At 43.6% G+C, this 20,881-nt stretch overlaps 1 annotated feature.

The window, feature by feature from the left end:
* Positions 19,977-20,629: an enhancer, noted in NCBI's record as "OCT4-NANOG-H3K27ac hESC enhancer chr6:160296296-160296948 (GRCh37/hg19 assembly coordinates)". NCBI's record gives its function as "activates a minimal SCP1, AML or CMV promoter by ChIP-STARR-seq in primed H9 embryonic stem cells {active_cell/tissue: H9 hESC(primed)}" and the evidence as "EXISTENCE:reporter gene assay evidence [ECO:0000049][PMID:30033119]".

Here is a 20,881-nt window from a genome sequence, read left to right on the forward strand (position 1 = left end):
GATGAGCATTTTGCTCTCTACACCACTGTCCCACCCAGCCACCATCTTCTCAATATACGTGGACCTGATTTTTAATTAGGTTCATTTTTCTTCATTTTTCCCTTTTATTTTTAGTTGACACAATATAATTGTGCATATGTATGGGATAGAGAGTGATATTTTGATATATGTATATGTGTGGAGTGATCAAAACAGGGTAATTAACATATCTGTTACCTCAAACATTTGTCATTTGTGTTGTGAACATTCAAAATACTCTCTTCAAGCTTTTAAAAAATACTCAACAAATTGGTTATCTATATTTACCCTATGCTGCTGCAGAACACCAGAACTCATTCCTCCCATCTAGCTGAAATTTTGTGTTCATTAACCAACCTCTCCCTATCCTCCTCACCCCCTACCTTTCCTAGCCTCTATAGTGCCCACAATTCTACCTTCTACTTTTATGAGCTCCCACATATGAGTGAGGACATGTGGTATTCTTGTGTACAAGAATTTTGCTTGAATATAATGTCTTCTTATTGTGCTCTAATTTAATGTCTTCCAGGCTCATCCATGTTTCTGTGAATGACAAGATTTCATTCTTTTTATGGTTGAATAGTATCCCGTTATACACACACTCTCACACACACACACACACACACACACACACACACATATTTATCTATCTTAGATATGTAATCTTTCTTAACTCATTCATCTGTTAATGGACATTTATGTTGATTCCGTATCTTAGTATTGTGAATAGTGCTGCAGTAAATGTGGGAATGCAGGTATTCCTTTAATACGCCAATTTTCTTTCTTTTGGATAAATACTCAGTAGTGGGTTTGCTGGATCATATGGTAGCTCTGTTTTTGGTTTTCTGAAAAATTCCACACTGTTTTCTATAATGTCCGTAATAATTTATCTTCCTACTAATAGTCTGGTAAGAGTTCTCTTTTCTCCACATCCTTGCCAGCATTTGTTATTTTTTGTCTTTTCGATGTAGCCATTTGTTTTTTTGTTTTGTTTTGTTTTTTGTTTGTTTGTTTGTTTTTCTCAAGACCAAGTCTCACTCTGTCACCCAGGCTGGAGTGCAGTGGCGCGATCTTGGCTCACTGCAACCTCTATCTCCCAGGTTCCAGCGATTCTCCTGCCTCAGCCTTCCAAGTAGCTGGGATTACACGTGTGTGCCACCACACCCAGCTAATTTTTGCATTTTTAGTAGAGACAGGATTTCACCATGTTGGCCAGGCTGGTCTCGAACTCCTGACCTCAGGTGATCCACCCATCTCGGCCTCTCAAAGTGCTGGGATTACAGGCGTGAGCCATCATGCCCAGCTGATATAGCCATTCTAACTGGGGTAAGATGATATCTCATTGTGGTATTAGTTTGCAATTCCCTGATGATTAGTGATGTTGAGTATTTTTTCATACACCTGTTGGCCATTTGTATGTCGTTGAGAAATGTCTGTTCAGCTCACTTGCCCATTTTTCATTGGATTATTTGTGGTTTTTTTGTTTGCTTTGCTGTTGAGTTCCTTGTATATTCTAGATATTAATTACTTGTTGGATGAACAGTTAGCAAATATTTTCTGTCATTCTGTAGGTAGTCTCTTCACCCTGTTGATTGTTCCTTTGCTGTATAGAAGCCTTTTAGTTTAACATAGTCTCATTTGTCTATTTTTATTTTTGTTACTTGTGCTTTTAAAGTCTCAGCCATAAAATCTTTGCCTAGACTAATGCCCTGAAGCATTTCCCCTGCTTTCGTCAAGTAGTTTTATAGTTTTAGGTTTATGTTTAAATCTTTAATCCATTTTGAGTTGATTTTTGTATATTTCTTATTTGCGTATCCCCACCAGTGAGTTTTATACTTTTGTGTATTTTCATTATGGTAGATATTGTCCTTTCTCTTCTAGATGTTCTTCTTTAAGCATTTTTTATAGGGCTGGTCTAGTGGTGATGAATTTCCTGTTTTTGTTTGTCTAAGAAAGACTATTTCTCCTTCATATCTAATGGATAGATTTAGTGGGTGTGGAGAAGTTTATCCTTTTTTCCTTTTTTTCCCTCCTTTTAGCACCTTGAATATATCATCCCATTCTTTCCTATAAGGTTTCTGGTAGCCTGTAAGGTTTCTGCTAAGAAATGTGCTGCTAGTCTGATGGGGATTGCCTTAAATATATCTTGACTTTTTTCTCTTGCTGTTCTCTTTGTCTTTTACTTTTGACAGTTTGACTATAATGTGCCTCCAATAAACCTTTTTGGATTAAATCTATCTGGGACTCTTTGAGTTGCCTGTCTGGATATTTTCATCTCTTCCAAGACTTGTGAAGTTTTTAGTGATTATTTCCTTAAATAGGTTTTCTATGCTGTTTCCATTCCCTTTTCCTGTAGAACAAATTTTATGAAAATGTGTTTGGTTTACAGTATCCCAAATGTCACATAGGCTTTCTTCATTCTTTTTTTTTTCCTTTTTTCTTTTTTCTTTCTTTTGTTTGACTGAATTATTTCAAAAGACCTATCTTCAAGTTCAAAAATTCTTTCTTCTGCTCAATTTATTTTTGAAGCACTTCAGATCCAGGATTTCTGTTTGGTTGTTTTTTATATCTATCTGTTCAATTGCTCATTCAGATTATGAATTATTTTTCTGATTTTCTTGTATTATCTATCCGTGTTCTCTTGTAACAACTGGCCACTATTTTAAGTTCCTTTTCAGGCATTTCATATATTTCCTTTTCTTTGGAATCTGTTACTGGAGAATTATTTTGTTCTTTTGTCAGTGTCATGTTTCCTTGCTTTTTTTCTGTTTCCTTTGTCCTTATGTTAATATGTGTGCACCTGGTATAATACTTGCTTCTTCAAATTTTATGGAATGGCTTTCATAGGAAATAATTTTCCCTGTAAATGTATCTGTAGTGTTGGTTGGGTAGGGTGCTTTGGCTTTGATTCTGGATGGGCACAGTAATGTAGTCTCTGTATGATTTATTCAGCTTTAATCAATGTCAGTGGGGTCTGTGTGTTCTTCAGTGGCTTAGGCTGTGGTTATTAGTGGAGGCTGTGGCAAGGCTTTTCTGGGGACAAGAACATCAAGTAGGTTGGTCCTTGGTCCCCTGGGTAACATAAGCAGCCATCAGTGGTAGTAGGAGGGGGCCTGGGTATACTAGTTATTGGGCCCCTAGGCAGTGCTTGCAGCACTGGTGGTGGCAGTGCTCATGGCAAGCTGGCCCTCAGGTCCCTGGGCAGTGCTTGTGGCACTGGCAATGGCAGTAGTGATGGCAGGCTGGCCCTCGGGCCCTGGGTGGCACACATTGGTGCTGGTGGCTAGTTAGGTTTTCATTTTTATGATAACAATGTAAACATTTTCATCTAAGGGTCAAGTGGTTTATTGTCATTATTTTATTTTTTCTTGGACAAATTCTTGTTTTCCCTAGTTACATATTGCCTTGTATTTTTCACTTTCACAGTTTCCTATGTATTTATTCTTATTTTTGCTTATACTATGCTCATTTTTTCCATTTAGTATGTCATGTGCCTAGCAATACATTATTTTTTTTTAAATACTCAAACATATTGAGTAATCTGTTCTGACTTTTCCTGGGAACGCTTCCCCATGGAGCACCTTGTCAGACTTCCTCCCTCTCAGCTAGCCCTCTGTGGGCCCACGTCCCTTCCATTACCTGGGCTTTTCTTGACTGCTTTTTGTGTTGAGGATTCCATGGGTTCTTTCCTGTAGCCAGTCTATGAAGGAATTTAAAGGAAAGGGTATGAGGGAGGTGACTTTTTAAAAACTTTGTATTATGATAAATTTTCAACAAAACCAAAGTAGAGAAAAGAGCATCAGAAGCTCTCATGTGTCCTTTTCCAAGTTTCCACAATCATCAACATAAGGCCAATATTGTTTCAGCTAAACTCTTTCCCACTCCCTTTAACCCATGGATATTTTAATGCAAATTCCAGATATCATATATTCATCTGTAAATGTTTTATTATGCATTTCTATTTAAAGACCTCTGGGCATGGTGGCTCATGCCTGTAATCCCAGTACTTTGGGAGGCCAAGGTGGATCACTTGAGCCGAGAAATTCAAGACCAGCCTGGGCAACATAGCGAGACCCCCCCCTCTACAAAAAGTTTAAAAATTAGCCAGATATGGTGGTGGGTGTCTGTAGTCCCAGCTAGCCAGGAGGCTTAGGTGGGAGGATCGCTTGAGCCTGGGAGGTTGAGGTTGCAGTGAGCTGTGATCACTCCATCACACTCTAGCCTAGGTGACAGAACGAGACCTTGTCTCAAAAAATTAAAATAAATAAATAAATAAAACTTATAAAGAAAACTCCTAACCACAATGCCACAATGCCATTACCACACCTGAAAAAATTAGCACTATTCTCTAAAGTCATCAAATATTCACTTGGTATCATACATGTGTTGGCTTTTTAAAAATACAATTAGTTCGAATCAGCATTCAAATAAGATTTGATTGTGATTAGTTATGTCTCTTAAGCCTCTTTTAACCTATAGGTTTTTCTCCCTTCCTTTTTTCTTGCAATATTTTTGTTGAAGAAACCTGGTCATTTTTGGCTGTGTCTCCACATGCATTTAACCTGTTCCTCTGTCTTGGTGTTCTAGAGCCTCCATCTATTTCAGGTCTGATTTTATTTTGGCAAGATTATTTCACATGGATGTACTTCCAGCCATCAGATTGACTCCTCTCTTTCTGTGGCGCTATCAGCCATTGATAATTACCTGAATCAACCAAAAGCAGTTTTACCCCGACCCCCACCCCACCTAGGGACATTTGGCAATGTCTGAAGACATTTTTGATTGTCCTGACTAGGGAGGAAGGATGCTACTGGCATCCAGTGGGTAGAAGACAGGAATGCTGCTATATATCCTACAACAGTCAGGACAGCCCCCTAACCCCCAACAAATATAATAATATGTTGATTAACAACAGGGATACATTCAGAGAAATGTGTCGTTAGGAGACTTCATCATTGGGCAAACACCATAGAAGGCATTTAGGCAAACCTTGGTGTCATAGCCTAGTATACACCTAGGCTATATGGTATAGCCTACAAATCTAGGCTACGAATCTGTATAGCATGCTGCTATACTAAATACTGTATGCGACTGTAACACAATGGTAAGTATTTGTGTATCTAGACATAGAAAAGGTACAGCAAAAATACAATATTAAAACATTACGGGACCACCGTCATATATGCAGTCCATCATTCACTGAAATGTCATTTTGCAGTGTGTGACTGTAATTATCTAATCTAAATTGTCAATAGTACTGAGATTCAAAATCTTTGATAAGATCTGTTTATTCCTTAGAGTTTCAAAGGGGGTTATGTTCTGCTTCTATTATGTCTTCTTTACTTATTAGCTGGAACAGGGCCAACATATATTAGGATTTTGACACATTTACTTCATCTATGCCCTTCCTCTTTTTTTGTTGTGGTTGAAGGATTGAAAAGCAAATCCCACATATCATCTTATTAATCCTAAACATATTTAAAAAATGGACATTTTCTTACATAGTCATAATGCTTTTATCGCACCTAACAAAATTAGCAATAATCTTGGTATCCATATTCAAATTTACCTCAGTAAATGTGAACTACATATTTACAAATGCTGAACTACAGCATTTTCCCTTTTTGTTTTATTTTTCAAAATTAGGATTCAAAAAAATCCACATGTTGTATTTTTAGTGGTTCTGTCTTGAGAACTTTCTAACCTAAAGCAGTGGAGCTGTCTGTGTAAGCCCTTGTATGTCTGCAATATTTTTCTTCTACCCTCATATTTGACTCATAGTTTTGTTGGTATAGTGTACACCATGGCTGCCTTCCTAGGATTCATTTAAACTTCCTCCTTCCTGATAAAATCCCGATCTTATTTGGATGTCCACTCCTCCCTCTTCAGCCACATGCCTCAAGAGAGGCTCATTCTGGAGGAGAGCATGGGTAGTCTAAGTGTATTTCACCCATCTGGACAGATTGGTTCAACCATGAGCATGCGATTCTTGGCTCTAAACCCTGAGGGGATATATATAGTTTTTTTGTTTTGAGACGGAGTCTCGTTCCGTCGCCCAGGCTGGAGTGCAGTGGTGTGATCTCAGCTCACTGCAACCTCCACCTCCCGGGTTCAAGCGATTCTCCTGCCTCAGCCTCCCAAGTAGCTGAGATTACAGGCGTCAGCCAAAACACCTGGCTAATTTTTGTATTTTTAGTAGAGATGGGGTTTCACCATGTTGGCCAGGCTGGTCTCGAACTCTTGACCTCAAGTGATCTGCCCGCCTCAGCCTCCCAAAGTCCTGGGATTACAGGTGTGAGCCACTGCACCCAGCCTGAAATGTACTTTATTCTAAAAGAGAGACACTCAGACATGTTTCTTTTCTGGGCATCATCAGGTCTGGATGAGATGCTGGAACTGCACCTCTCACCTCAGGACCCATCTCAGAGTTAGCCTGACCCTAAAGATGCCAAAACAGAAAGAAGGAGAGAACCTGGCCCAGCCACTCCTAGACCTGGTCTGTCTTTGTGCTTATTTATATAGCAAGAAAATATAACTTATTTTTAAAACCCTGTTCAAATGGTGGCTGCTCTTATTTGCAGCTGAAACATCCTCATGGATAGACATGGGTATAGAATTTTAGGTTGAAAATATTTTTTTCCTTAGGATTCTGGTATCATTGCTCCAATGCTTGCTTTAAAAAATACTTCTATTTTGAAATAGATTAACAGGAAGTTGTAAAATTAGTACACAGAGGTTCCACATACCCTCCCCAGTTTCCCCCAGTGGATACATCCTACATAACTATAGCTAAATATACCAGGAAGGCGACTTGGGTTCCAATACTTTCTTATGTTCAGTATCGTTATTGGAAAGTCAATGCCATGATGAGTCCTTTTCTCTTTTTAATGTAACCTAATTTTTCTCTGCGGAAGCCTCCAGCATCTTCTTCTTAGCCCTGATGTTCTGAAATTTATTGACGGCATGCCTTGATGTGGTCTTTTTTCATTCATTGCTCTGAACATTCTGAGTCTAGAGGCTTGTGGCTTTGGGGTCCTGGAAAATTTATGGTATTATGTATTTGACAATTTCCTGTCCTCTGTCTTTATTTCTTCTTTGAACAGTGTTTTGGTGCTGAGCTCCCTGGATTGCTCTCTGATGACTTTATCTTTTGTTTTCTATTTCCCGTCTTTGCCACTTTGTTCTTTTCTGTGTCTGACATTGCCTCCACCTCTGTTCTGTCCCTCCTGGTCCTGGTTCCTTGTTTTCTTCTCAGAGGGGTCTCAGGATGAATTGGCCCATGTATGAGTTTTCTGTTGTTGGCCTAATAAATCCCCCTAAAGTCAGCAGTTGAAAACAGCACACATTTATTATCTCAGTTTCCACCAGTTGGAGTCCAGTTATGGGGCCGCTGGGCTGTCTGTTGAGGTCTCCCCAGGCTGACATCAAGACATTAGCTGAGGCTGGGGTCTCCTCTGAGGCCCAGGACCCATTCAGGTTGTTGGCAGAACCTGGGTTGTTGTAGTTGTAGGGCTGAGGTTCCCACCTCCTAGGGGTGCCCCCCATTTCCTGGCAGGTGGTCCTCTCCACCTGGGTAGTTTGTTTCTTCAAGGCCAGAAGGAGAAGGAGAGTATCTGCTGTGCTTCCTGTGTCTTACCTCTAGACACACCAGGACAACATCCCTTTTTATCAACTCAAAGTTAACTGATGAGGGGCCACACTCCAGGGGAGGGAATGCTATAAGGTGTGTACACCAGGGGGTGGGAATTGGAGGCTACCTTAGGATCCTTCAGCCCACAGTACCCTCATGTGCTCTTCTCATGCATCTCTGATTATAGCCTCTTGTTCTCACTCCCCAAATTTTGTTCCTAGTTCTTGCCTGGCAACATTACCTCGCCTATCCTTTCTGTCTTTTCACTTCATCTTAGTGGTTCTTTTTTTTTTTTTTGCAGGTTGGGGGGCATGAATGTTTGTGGTTCGTTTACGATGTTTAACTCAAAGTCCTTGAGCAGTTAAATTTTTGAAGGTGTGAGTTTTTTCTTAATGAGTAATGCAGAGTGTTTCAATGCAACACACTCTTGTCTGATAATTTATCGCTGAACAGCCTACTGAACAACTTTTAGATAAAACCTACCTGAGGGAAAAAAATCCAAGTCACCACTGGATGGCACCAAAAAACAAGGAATTTAAAGGGGCTTCTCTGCCTGCTGACGTGTCACATAGAGCTTCATTTTCCCAAATGTGAGGGAGAAATGCTATTTATTTATTTATTTAGAGACGGGGTCTGGCTCTGTTGCCCTGGCTGGAGTGCAGTGGTGCGATCACAGCTCACTGCAGCCTCGACTTCCTGGGCTCAAGCAATCCTCCCACCTCAGCCTCCTGAGTAGCTGGGACTACAGGCACACACAACCATGTCTGCCTAATTTTTTTCTATTTTTTTGTAGAGACACAGTCTCACTATAATGCTGGTCTCTAACTCTTGGGCTCAAGTGAACCTCCCATTTTAGCCTCCCAAAGTGCTGGGATTACAGGCCTGAGCCACCGTGCCTGGCTGGGGATGCTATTCTTTGAGATACGTGTTGATGAGCTTTTGTTAGAAGAGCTTGTTACCGTGCTCTTTACCCTGAGGCTGAGGCTCCCTCCCCTGAGAAGCTGCACCACCTGGGACAGACATAATTGCCTGGCTGGAGTCTCACACAGGGTTTTATTTTTTATTTTTTTAAAATTTATTATTATTATACTTTAAGTTTTAGGGTACATGTGCACAACGTGCAGGTTTGTTACATATGTATACATGTGCCATGTTGGTGTGCTGCACCCATTAACTTGTCATTTAGCATTAGGTATATCTCCTAATGCTATCCCTCCCCCCGCCCCCCACCCCACAACAGTCCCTGGTGTGTGATGTTCCCTTTCCTGTGTCCATGTGTTCTCATTGTTCAATTCCCACCTATGAGTGAGAACATGTGGTGTTTGGTTTTTTGTCCTTGTGATAGTTTGCTGAGAATGATGGTTTCCAGTTTCATCCATGTCCCTACAAAGGACATGAACTCATCATTTTTTATGGCTGCATAGTATTCCATGGTGTATATGTGCCACATTTTCTTAATCCAGTCTATCATTGTTGGACATTTAGGTTGGTTCCAAGTCTTTGCTATTGTGAATAGTGCCACTATAAACATACGTCACACAGGGTTTTAAAAAAGTTCATTGCAGCTGGGCGCGGTGGCTCACACCTGTAATTCCAGCACTTTGGGAGGCCAAGGCGGGCCGATCATGAGGTCAAGAGATCAAGACCAGGACATGGATGAAGCTGGAAACCATCATTCTCAGCAAACTATCGCAAGGACAGAAAACCAAACACCACATGTTCTCACTCATAAGTGGGAGCTGAGCAATGAGAACACATGGACACAGGGAGGGGAACATCACACACCGGGGCCTGTTGGGGAATGGGGGGGCTAGGGGAGGGATGGCATTAGGAGAAATACCTAATGTAGGTGACAGGTTGATGGGTGCAGAAAACCACCATGGCACATGTATACCTATGTAACATAACTGCACGTTCTGCACATGTAACCCAGAAATTAAAGTATTATAATAATAATAATAATAAAAGAGATCGAGACCATCCTGGCCAACATGGTGAAACCCCGTTCTACTAAAAATACAAAAATTAGCAGGAGACTTGCTTGAACCCGGGAGGCAGAGGTTGCAGTGAGCCGAGATCATGCCACTGCACTCCAGCCTGGCAACAGAGTGAGACTCCGTCTCAAAAAAAAAAAGTTCATTGCAGATACCATTGAAGGACAGGAGTTCTGGGAACTTCTGAGGCCGAGCTGTAAATATCAGAATGTCTGGCCTGAAGGACGAAAGCACGGAGTGTTAATTTTCAGACAGACTGTGGGGATGTGGGGTGAAGAGGGGACGAGGTCCTAGAAAGGGAAAACCAACTGTGCTTCCTTCTACTGTCACACACTTCACATCAGACACCAAACAGGCAGGGTTTTCTGACACCAACCAATTCTCCATTTTTCTGTGGATGCCAGCTGGATGTCCTATGATTTAATCCAGTTCTGACACCATCTGCCTAGAGTTAGCATCAGATCTCACAGGTGGAGGGCTCAGCCCCACAAGGCTGCCCTGCTTCAGATGCCAATCGCAGGTCTGGACCTCCCTTCTGACTCCTGACTGGCCGGCTATGAACTGTGGATTCCCACAGCCCCCTCCTTGAATTCGATCGTTTGCTAGAATGGCTCACGGAACTCAGGGAAACACTTTACTTTTGTTTACCCGTTTATTATGGAGAATACAACTTAGGAACAGCCAAATCGCACTGGGCAAGGAGGGGAAAGGGTCACGAAGGCCCAGCACTTCCGTGTGTTCATCAACCCAGAAGCTCTGAGAACTACGTCCTTTTGGGTTTTTACAGAGGCCTCATTACGTAGACACGATTGATTCCAACATTGCCCCCTCAGAGGCTGGGGAGTGGGGCTGAAAGTTCCAGTCTCCTCATGATCTGGTTGGTTTCTCTGGTAATCAACCCCAACCTTAGGCCTTTCCAAAAGTCACTTCACTCACACAAACTCATGAAGCAAGAATAGCCTCCCTACAAGCAACAAGAGATGCTCCTTTTTCACCTTTGTAGCTCCAGAGCTGTTCGGGAACTGGAGACAAAATCTAAATATTGTAACAAAAGCTGCTCCTGTCATTCTTATCACTTAGAAAAGTACAAGAGTTTTAGGAGCTGTGGCTGGGAGCCAGGGACAACACCACAATGCGTGTTTTTTTTTTTTTTTTTTCCGAGACGGAGTTTCGCTCTGTCGCCCAGACTGGAGTGCACTGGTACCATCTCGGCTCACCTCAACCTCTGCCTCCTGGGTTCAAGCGATTCTCCTGCCTCAGCCTCCTGAATAGCTGGGATTACAGGTACCCGACACCACGCCCGGCTAATTTTTGTATTTTTAGTAGAGACGGGGTTTCACCATGTTGGCCAGCCTGATCTTGAACTCCTGATCTCGTATTTCTTATGATCCCACAGTATCACCAGAGCCTGCTAGTGCTGCCAGTAGGCCCTGGAGAAAGGAGGCCGAGGTGGACTGGGTGCAGACCCTCCCCATGCTCAGACTCCAGGGTGGTCGGCCCAGAAGCTTCCAGAGCCTGGAGGTGAGGCAGCAGTGTTCTGCTTCCTGCCTGGAAGGCCAGTGGGGGGGCTGAGGAGCCTTGAGTCCCTGGGTGGCCGCAGGCTGGTGGAGTGTGTGTTGGCAGGAGCCTGCAACAGCGTCCTGGGAGGCTGCATCTGCCACAATTCACAGAGAAGATGCACACAAGCTCCCCTGTATCACTGTGCGGGGGCTCGGGAGGTGGCCGGGAACGAAGTGCTCGTGTGACTGTCTTGGAGAGATGTCGGGTGGGGCAGGGGTTGTCTCAAAGCCAGGAGAGACAGCTGAGGGAGAGCAAGGCCTGGAAACAGGGGCGCCTTAGGCCTGCCTGTCACCTCAACTGCAGGGGCCACGCTGCCCGGGGCCTGGCTGTGCCTGGGGTCCACCTCTGCCCAGCTTCCTGGGGGCTCCCTCCAGGGTGCTGCAGAGGTGTGGGGCCGGCCCGTTTCCTGGGACACCGCTGACAGCCAGCCCGGGCTCAGGGACGCCTTGTGGCCTCTTGGAGCCTTCCCTGGGCCACAGGCAGGCCAGTCCCCCTCACCAGCCCTAACGCTTCCTGCCCCTGCCCCTGGCAGGCTTCTCCGGCTCTCTGGGTCCTGCGCGTTCAGCCGCCTCTGTGTAAGCGCCCTGAGGACCAGGTCCCCACTGCCCCTGATGCCGCAGGCCCCCCCGCAATGCATGCAGGCCCGGCATGCAGGCCTCTGATCTGCAAAGGGGAAAGGAGAGGAAAGATTTCAGAGAGAACAGCCCTGCATGGAGTTGGAACCTTGAAATGACTGAATTTAGAACCAGAGTTGCCTGCTTACGGGAAAGGAGCTACTCAAACAGAAGAGACAGAGTGACATTGAGGTGCCAAGATGAAGTATGTTTCCCGAACAAAGTGGGTATAGGAATTTGAGAGCCAATAGCTCCACTCTAGAAAATTAAAGACGGGCGTATTTCTGCATATCGGGGCCAGAGTGAAGGAACCTCCGCCGGCTTCACTGCACATTAAAGACCCCCCTGGGCTGCTCTTGCCTCATGAATCTGATGCCCCCTGAGCAACCTCTCACCCTTCAGCACTGCTCAGGTGGGCTCTGTGCTGCTGTGCAGTGGAGCAGGTGGGAAAGGAATCCGCTGTTCCTCCAAAATTCACGTTTACCCAGAACCTCAGAATGTGAGTTTGTTTGGAAATAAGCTCCTTGCAGATGTGATTAAGGCTCCAGCTGAGGTTATACTGGATTAGGGCAGGCCCTAAATCCAAGGAGAGAGCCTTGTAAGAGACAGAAAAAGACATACAGAGACAAGAGGAAAGAGGCCAGGGAGATGGGGCAGAGACTGGAGTGATGCTGCCACGAGCCAAGGAATGCTGGAAGCCACCAGAAGTGGGAGGGGGTGAGGAAGACCATTCCCTAGAGACTTCAGCGGGACCATGGCACTGCTGATAGCTTAGTGTTGGGCTGCTGGCCTCCAGAACTATGAAAGTAAATTTATGTTATTTTAAGCCACCCAGCTTGAGGTAATTCTTATGGCAGCCCTACAGAGCAAATACACTTCTCTGACACAATTATGGTGATAAGAATTGGCCCAACCCTAACAATGTGGGGTCTGGCATAAGCGTACACATCCCCCATGTCTAAATATTTAAAACCACACACTGCTCTTCATATCCGTTAGGATGGCTATTATTTAAAAGAACCCCCACAAACACAAAATAACAGGTGTTGGTGAGAATGTGGAGAAATTGGAAATCTCCTGAATTGCTGGTGGGATTGTAAAATGGTGCAGCCACTGTAGAAAACAGTTCTCCAAATAGTTAAACATAGATTCCCATTTGATTCCCTAGTTACACTTTGGGTATGTACCCAAAAGAATTGAAGGCAGGAACTTGAACAGATACTTGTACACCAGGGATCATAGCAGCCCTGATTCACACTAGCTGAAAGGTGGAAACGACCCAATTGCCCATGATGGAGGAATGGATACACAAAACGTGGTATGTAGCTACAATGGGACATTATTCAGCCATAAAAAGGAAGGAAATTCTGACACATTGATACATGTGATCTGACACATTGACACACGTTGATACACCTCCTTGGTTAAATTTATTCCTATAATATGGATGAACCGTGAAACCGTTATGCTGAGTGAAATAAGCCAGATAGAAAAGGAAAAATAAATATGATTCCACTTGCATGAGGAACCTAGAATAGGCAAATACATAGAGAGAGAAAATACAATGCTGGTTACCAGGGGCCGGGGAGAGAAGAATGGGGAGTTAGTGTTTAATGGGCACTAAGTTTCTGTTAGGAATGATGAAAAGTTCTGGAAATGGATAGTGGTGTTGGTTGTACAACATTGTCATTATACTTAATGCCCCTGAATTGTACTCTTAAAAATGGTTAAAATGGTAAATTGCATTTTATGTATATTTTACCACAATAAAAAAATTTAAAACAAGCTACTAAACTGTTAAATAAAATGTTCTATTCTTTACCTTGACCAATATACATTTTTCATTTATAATTATTTTTTTTTATTTATTTACTGATTTTGAGATAGAGCCTTGCTCTGTTGCCCAGGCTGGAGGGCACAATCTCTGCTCACTGCGACCTCTGATTCCCAGGTTCAAGCAATTCTCATGCCTCAGCCACCCGAGTAGCTGGGATTACAGGCATGTGCCACCACAACCGACTAATTTTTTGTATTTTCAATAGAGACGGGGTTTCGTCATGTTGCCCTGGCTGGTCTCAAACTCCTGGCCTCAAGTGATCCACAGCCTCGGCCTCGGCCTCCCATAGTGATGGGATTATAGGTGTGAGCCACTGCAACTGGCCCCGTTTATTATTATTTTTAATTGACACATAATAATTGTAGATATTTATGGGGTACATTGTGATATTTCCGTACACATATACAATATGTAATAAGCAAATCAGGGTAGTTAGCATATCTATTACCCCAAACATATTTTGTTTCTTTGTGTTGGGAATATTCAAAATTTCCTCTTCTAGCTATTTGAAAATATACAATAAATTATTAATTATAGTTACCCCATAGTCCCATAGAACACTAGCACTTATTCCTCCTGTCTAGCTGTGCAGTTGTATCCCTTCATTAACCTCTGGCTTTGCCTCCCCACCCTTCCCAGTGTCTAGTAACCACTCTTCTATGCTCTACTTCTGTGAGATCAACTTTTTTAGCTTTCACAGATGAGAACATGTTTTATCTTTCTGTGCCTGGCTTATTTCACTTAACATAATGTCCTCCAAACTCATTCATGTTGTTGCAAATGACACAGATTTTTGTTCTTTTTTATGGCCAAATAGTATTCCATTGTGTATATATGTACCACATTTTCTTTTTTTAAAATTTTCTTGGATGCGTAATATATGTACATAGTATATCACATTAAAAAATCTATTCATCCATTGATGGACACTTAGATTGATTCCATATCTTCACTAGTATGAATAGTGCTACAATAAACATGGGAATGAAGCTATCTCTTCAACGTACTTATTTCCTTTCTTTCGGATATATACCCAGTAGTGGGATTGCTGGGTCATATGGTGGTTCTAGTTTTAGTTTTTTGAGAAACCTCAATACTGTTTTCCATAATGGCTGTACTAATTTACATTCCTGCCAACAATGTATAAAAGGTCTTTTTCTCTTCATCTTCACTGGTATTTGTTATTTTGAAAATCTTTTCATGACAGCCATTGTAACTGGAGTAAGATGAATAGCTCATTGTGGTTTTGCTTTGGATTTCCCTGATGATCAGTGATGTTGAGAAATTTTTCATATACTTTTTGATCATTTGTATGTCTTTTAAAAGATGTCTACTCAGCTCATTTGCTCATTTTTAATGTTTTAATTTGTTTTAATGAGCCAAACAAATACATTCTATTTGTCTTGCTTTGCTGTTGAGTTGTTTTTGAGTTCCTTGTATATTCTGGATATTAATCCCTTATCAGTTGAATAGTTTGCAAATGTTTTCTCCCATTCTGCAGGTTGTCTCTTCACTATGTTGACTGTTTTCTTTGCTATGCAGAAGATTTTTGGTTTGATATAATCCCATTTGTCTATTTTGCTTTTGTTGCCTATGCTTCTGAGGTCTTCTCCATAAAGTCCTTTTCCAGACCAATGTTCTGAAGTGTTTTCCATATATTTTCTTCTAGTAGTTTCATAGTTTTGGGTCTTACATTTAAGTGTTTAATCCACTTTGAGTTGGTTTTTGGATATGGTGAGAGATAAGGAGTCTAGTTTTATTTTTCTGCACTTACTTATTGAAGCAACTGTTGAAGAGACTCTTCTTTCTCCAATGAATATTTTTGATATTCTTCTTGAATATTGGTTGGCTGTAAACACGTGGATATATTTCTGATTTCTCTATTCTGTTCTATTGGTTCATGTGTCTGTTTTTATGCCAATACCAGGCTGTCTTGGTTACTGTAGTATATTTTGAAGTCCAGTAGTGTGATACCTCCAGCTTTGTTATTTTTGCTCAAGAGTGCTTTGGCTATTCAAAGTTTTTTGGGATAGCATACAAATTTTAGGATTGCTTTTTCTGCTTCTGTGAAGAATGTCATTGGTATTTTGATAGGAGTTGTATTAAATCTGTGATCAGTTGTGGCAGTGTGTTCGTTTTTACAATATTAAATCCAATCCATGAAAATGATCTGTTTTTTGTGTCCTCTTCAATTTTATTTTTTTTAGCAGTGTTTCATAATTTTCCTTTTAGAGATCTTTCACCTCCTTGGTTAAATTTATTCCTAGGTATTTCATTTTTTGAAAAATAGACTTTTGAAACAATTGGAAGGCCAGGTTCAAGTTTAGAATTCTTGGACTCCTTGGAGTTCCTTGACAGAACATAGCCACAGAGTATGCCCATGGCCTATAGCCCAACCCTCTTCTCTTACTGAGCTTGGCCCTGTTCCTCTCTGTGAGGAGCTTTACTTGCAAATGTGTGGCTACCCCTGGGAACATATCCAAGTTCCATGCACACCCTTTGAAAACAGCCCTGACTTGGCCACCCCTTGGCCCAGGAGTATAGCCACTGGCAGCATGCATTACCTTCAGTGGGACAGACCCAGCGACAAGGCCTGTGCAGGCCCTGGAAGCAGGCTCAGAGCTGTTTGGCCCAAAATACCAGGGTCTTTGATATCTAGAGTGCAACAAAAAGGGGAGGGCCATAGGCTGCAGGCAGGCACATGGCCTGGGTCCCACAGACTTTGACCCTATGGTGGAACGTGATTGAGGAGGCCACTGTAGGCCTGTAAAGTGTGGGCTCAGGTAGCAGCCCCACATCATCAGGCCTAAGGCAGGATTAAATAGTTTGGGATGCTTACTACCTGGGATGGACTGAAATGGGGCTGCAGAGGTCATTAATACCTGAAGCGAATCTTTGTCTCTCCTTTTGGCCACCCAGAGTCTAACGCCCTTTCCATGTTGGGGGAATTCTCCACCTCTATAATCTCACTTTCCCAGCTTCCCTTCCTGTGGGCCATGGGCTTTGATCTTGGCACAGCCAATTAGATGTTTCTGGTCCCGACTTTGCCTTATCTGCTGCTGCCAAGAAGGGGCAGGCCACAGAGAATGGTCTCCCTGGTGGGGGTGGTGATGGCAGGAAGATGGGTAGCAGGAGCAGTGCTAACAGCGCGTCGGTGCAGGGTATCAGTGGTAATAGGAGGTGCATCTGAGTCATCGTGGCTTGGGGGAGGTAGCAGCAGTGTCTTGATGCAGCTAATGATGCTGCATGATTTTAGCTCATGCAGTTGTTTTTGGAATTCTAACTTAGCCTGGATTTTTTTGTCTTCCTGGAGATTCTGTGAGCTAGATAATATCCTTTTAATAAATCATCTTTCTACTCAGCTTAGTTGGTGTCTGTTTCTGTTGCTTGCACTTAAGAGCCCTGACTGACACAGGTTGCTTGTCACATGTGTAGTTTGGGGTCAGAAGTACCTGCAAAGTACCTTCCATTTAGCTTTAGATGAAGCATACCAGCCTATTGATTGCAAGAGGGCTCCTGAGAGCTAGATAGAACAAAGGATATTTGGGAAGTGATCTAGAAGCATGTCCTCCAATGCAGCGCTCTTTAAAAAGTTGCCCTCCAGCAACCCAAGTGCCCATCTACACATGAACAGATAAACAAAGTGTGGTTTACGCATACAGCAAAATGTCATTCAACTTTCAAAAGGAGGGAAATTCTGACACATGCTATAACATGGATAAACATCGATATCATGGATAAACCATGATAAATCATGCTAAGTAAAATAAGCCAGACCCAAAAGGACAAATACTGTGTGATTCCACTTACATGAGGTCCCTAGAGTGCTCAGATTCTTCAAGAGAATATAGAATGGGGGTTGCCAGGGGCTGGGTGGAGGGGAAATGGGGAGGTATTGTTTAATGGGTCTGGAGTTTCAGTATGGGAGGATGAAACAGTTGTGGAGATTGATGGTGGTAATAGCTGCACAACATACTTAATGCCACTGAACTGTACATTTAAATGTGCTTAAACTGGTAAATTTTATGTTATATATATTTTACCACAGTAAAATCAATTACAGGTTGGGCATGGTGGCTCATACCTGTAGTCCTAGCACTTTGGGAGACCGAGGTGGGTGGATTGCTTGAGCCTAGGAGTTCAAGACCAGCCTGGGCAACATGGTGAAACTCTGTCTCTATAAAAAATACAAAAATCAGCCGGGCATGGTGTTGTGCACCTGTAGTCCTAGCTACTTGGAAGGCTGAGGTGGGAGGTCACTCGAGCCTGGGAGGTCAAGCCTGCAGTGAGTGGAGGTGGTGCCACTGTACTCCAGCCTGGGCAACAGAATGAGACTCTGTCTCAAAAAATTAAATCAATTATGAGGGGGGTGGGGGAGAGAGAGAGAGATACTCCACAGAGAAAGTTTTGTGTGTCAGAGTCTGAAAGTGAGACTTGAGCCCCACGTCAAATTAAATTTCCTAGTCCTCAGATTGGCCCTTATAAACTGGCTTCAGGCATATGGTATGGAGTCATCTCTGTGGTAAGGTCTGACAATGTTCTCTTCGGGTAACCCCTCACTGGAGCCAACACAGGTGCTGAGGTCCCAGGTGGGTGTCCGTAACCATGACCTCGGGGTTCATCATGGACCAAGCTGCAGCAGCGAAGATGTGGACACCCCTTCCTGCAGATCCCATACATGGATCCCTGAAAGTCTTCCCCAGGAAGGGCTTGAGGAAATCTAGACTCGAGGTCAGGAGATATTCATGGTCTGGCTAGAGATTCATGGCCCCCGCTCTCAAAGTAGCAAACTCCATGGCACCAGGCAGGCAGCTCCATGCCACTGCAGTTGAGGGAGGGAACGGACGAAGAGGCAGTCGGGTGGCCCTGAGCTGAGTGAGTTATAAACAGGAACAAATCTTTCATTCCCAAGGGCCTCATACTTTTACTGTGGAACTAGAAGAAAATGAGGTGTTGTCCTGAGTACTTCAAAGTCATGTCCCAGACTAGTGGCAAACAACCGATCTTTCCTCTTGAGACATGTTCACTGGTTCTAAAGGCATTAAACAACGATTCCATTAAACAATGGACTTCTGGGGAGGGTACTTTTTGGGCCCCAGTTGACAGAATATGGCAATTCTATTTGAGAGCCTTGGGCCGTCTGTATCCAGATGAAGGTGACTGATGTCAGGGACATCTTAGCTATGGACTCTTCAAAAGCAGCAAGCCATGGGTGTTAATGTTCCTCAACAGCATGTCTTTGGACCTTGAGAGTGTGAGCCTTGGGAGCGCATTGGTGTGCCTGCCAGACCACCCTCAGCACACAAGTGGAGTCCACCCCGGAACAGAAGGCAGAGCCCACCTCTGGATTTCCAACATTTCAGCATGGGGGCTCCTGGCTAGAACCATCCCATAGTGGGTAATATACACAGGACATACCTCAGCTCTGAGAAGGACAGAAATCCAGAACTGTCTATCAGTCACTCTCTCAACTGGAGGCCTCAGCTGGAGAGATGTAACTGAACTGTCTAAAGATGCTGGGCATTAGGATGTCCATATGTCTCTAGGAGTGAGGCCAGAAGACTTCCTCCTTATGCTGGGGAACTGGAGGGGAGACCTAGGCTGCCCATCTGCCTCTGGAAGGAGTTGAGACACTGGAGACCTAATTCAGTGTGCAACTAATTTCAGGAACAAAACACAGGAACTGTAACAAGCAGCCACCAACACATCTTGGAACAGCTCAGACTGGATCAAGCCGTGGCCGGCTGCCAGGGTAAGGATGTGGGAGCTTTTGGCAGACAGAGTGTTGCTAGGAACCAGGGGCTGCAGGACAGGAAGCAAAATGGTCAACTGCTGAAGCCTCTTTGTGTCTTGTGCTACAACTGTTTAGAACCTTACCCACTGTTATGGCTGAATGGTGTCTGACTGCACCCCAATTCCTATGCTGAAGCCCTAACATCTGGTACCTCAGAATGTGACTATATTTGCAGATACGGCCTTTAAAGAGGTGATTAAGTTAAAATGAGGTGGTTAGGGTGGGCCCTAATCCAGTATGGCTGAGGGTCTTTATAAGAAGAGGAAATTAGGACAGAGTCATATACATATGGAGAAAAGATCATGTGATGATACAGGGAGAAAATGGCCATCTGCAAGCCAAGGAGAGAGGCCGCTCTGCCAGCACCTTGATCTTGGACTTCCAGCCTCTGGAATTGTCGTTTCTACTACTTCAGCCTCCCAATCTGTGGCACTTTGTTCTGACAGCCCTAGCATGTGAATACATCCAGGCATAAAGTAGGGGAGGAGAATGAAATAGGACAAGATAGGGTAACCCACAGGAAACATCTGCCCACTGGTGAGCTTTCCCTGTGTACACAGGGTTGGCCAGACAGAAGGTCCTGCCACTTCTCCAGAAAGGTCAGGGCCACTACCCCTCTGCTATGGGTTGGATGTGGTTTGTTTGTTTCTGTCAGAACTCATGTTGAAATTTGATCTCTAATGTGGCAGTGTTGGGCGGTGGGGCCTAGTGAGAGGTGTTTGGTTACTGGTGCGGATCTCTCATGCATAGGTTGGTGCTATTCTCAAGGAAATCAGTGAGTGCTCGCCCCGGGGAGACTAGATGAGTTCTCTTGGGAATAGATTAGTTCCTTTGAGAGAGGATTGTTAATAGAGCCAGCATTCCCCTGGGACTTTCTCCTCTTCAAACGTGTCCACTGCCCCTTTGATATTCTCCACCACGTTATGATGCAGTTGTGATAGTCCTCACTGGAAGCCAGGGCCATGCCCTTGAACTTCTCACCCTGCAAAATTGTGAGCTAAACGTATTTTTTTAATACATTACCCAGTCTCAAGTGTTCTTTTATAGCAACACAAAATAAACTAAAATACCCCCTCAGAGGATCTAAGTTGGGGATGGGGCAGTGGCCTATCTTGGAGGAGAAACCTCGGCTAGGTGGGTCCAACCCTTGCATCAGAGCATGTGTGGCTAAGTGGCAAGGCTGAGGCCTTCAGCACAGGGGCAGGCACAGGGGCAGGAGAAGCAACTCCACGTTGGGCAAAGCAAGAAATCCATTCTGCTCTGTGGCTTTGCTGTGTGTCACTAGGGAGACAAGTGGACAGTGTCACACAAACAGCCCATTGCTGACTGGTAAGGGGAGTGGGGAACAAACCATTCTGGAGGAACAGATTGAGGACAGAGTCCTAGCACCTCTCTAGTCGAGGGAAACCTGGAAGAATGAAAGTCTTTGTGAGA

The sequence above is a fragment of the Homo sapiens genome, chromosome 6 (assembly GCF_000001405.40).
Source record: "Homo sapiens chromosome 6, GRCh38.p14 Primary Assembly".
In the NCBI taxonomy this organism is placed as follows: domain Eukaryota; kingdom Metazoa; phylum Chordata; class Mammalia; order Primates; family Hominidae; genus Homo; species Homo sapiens.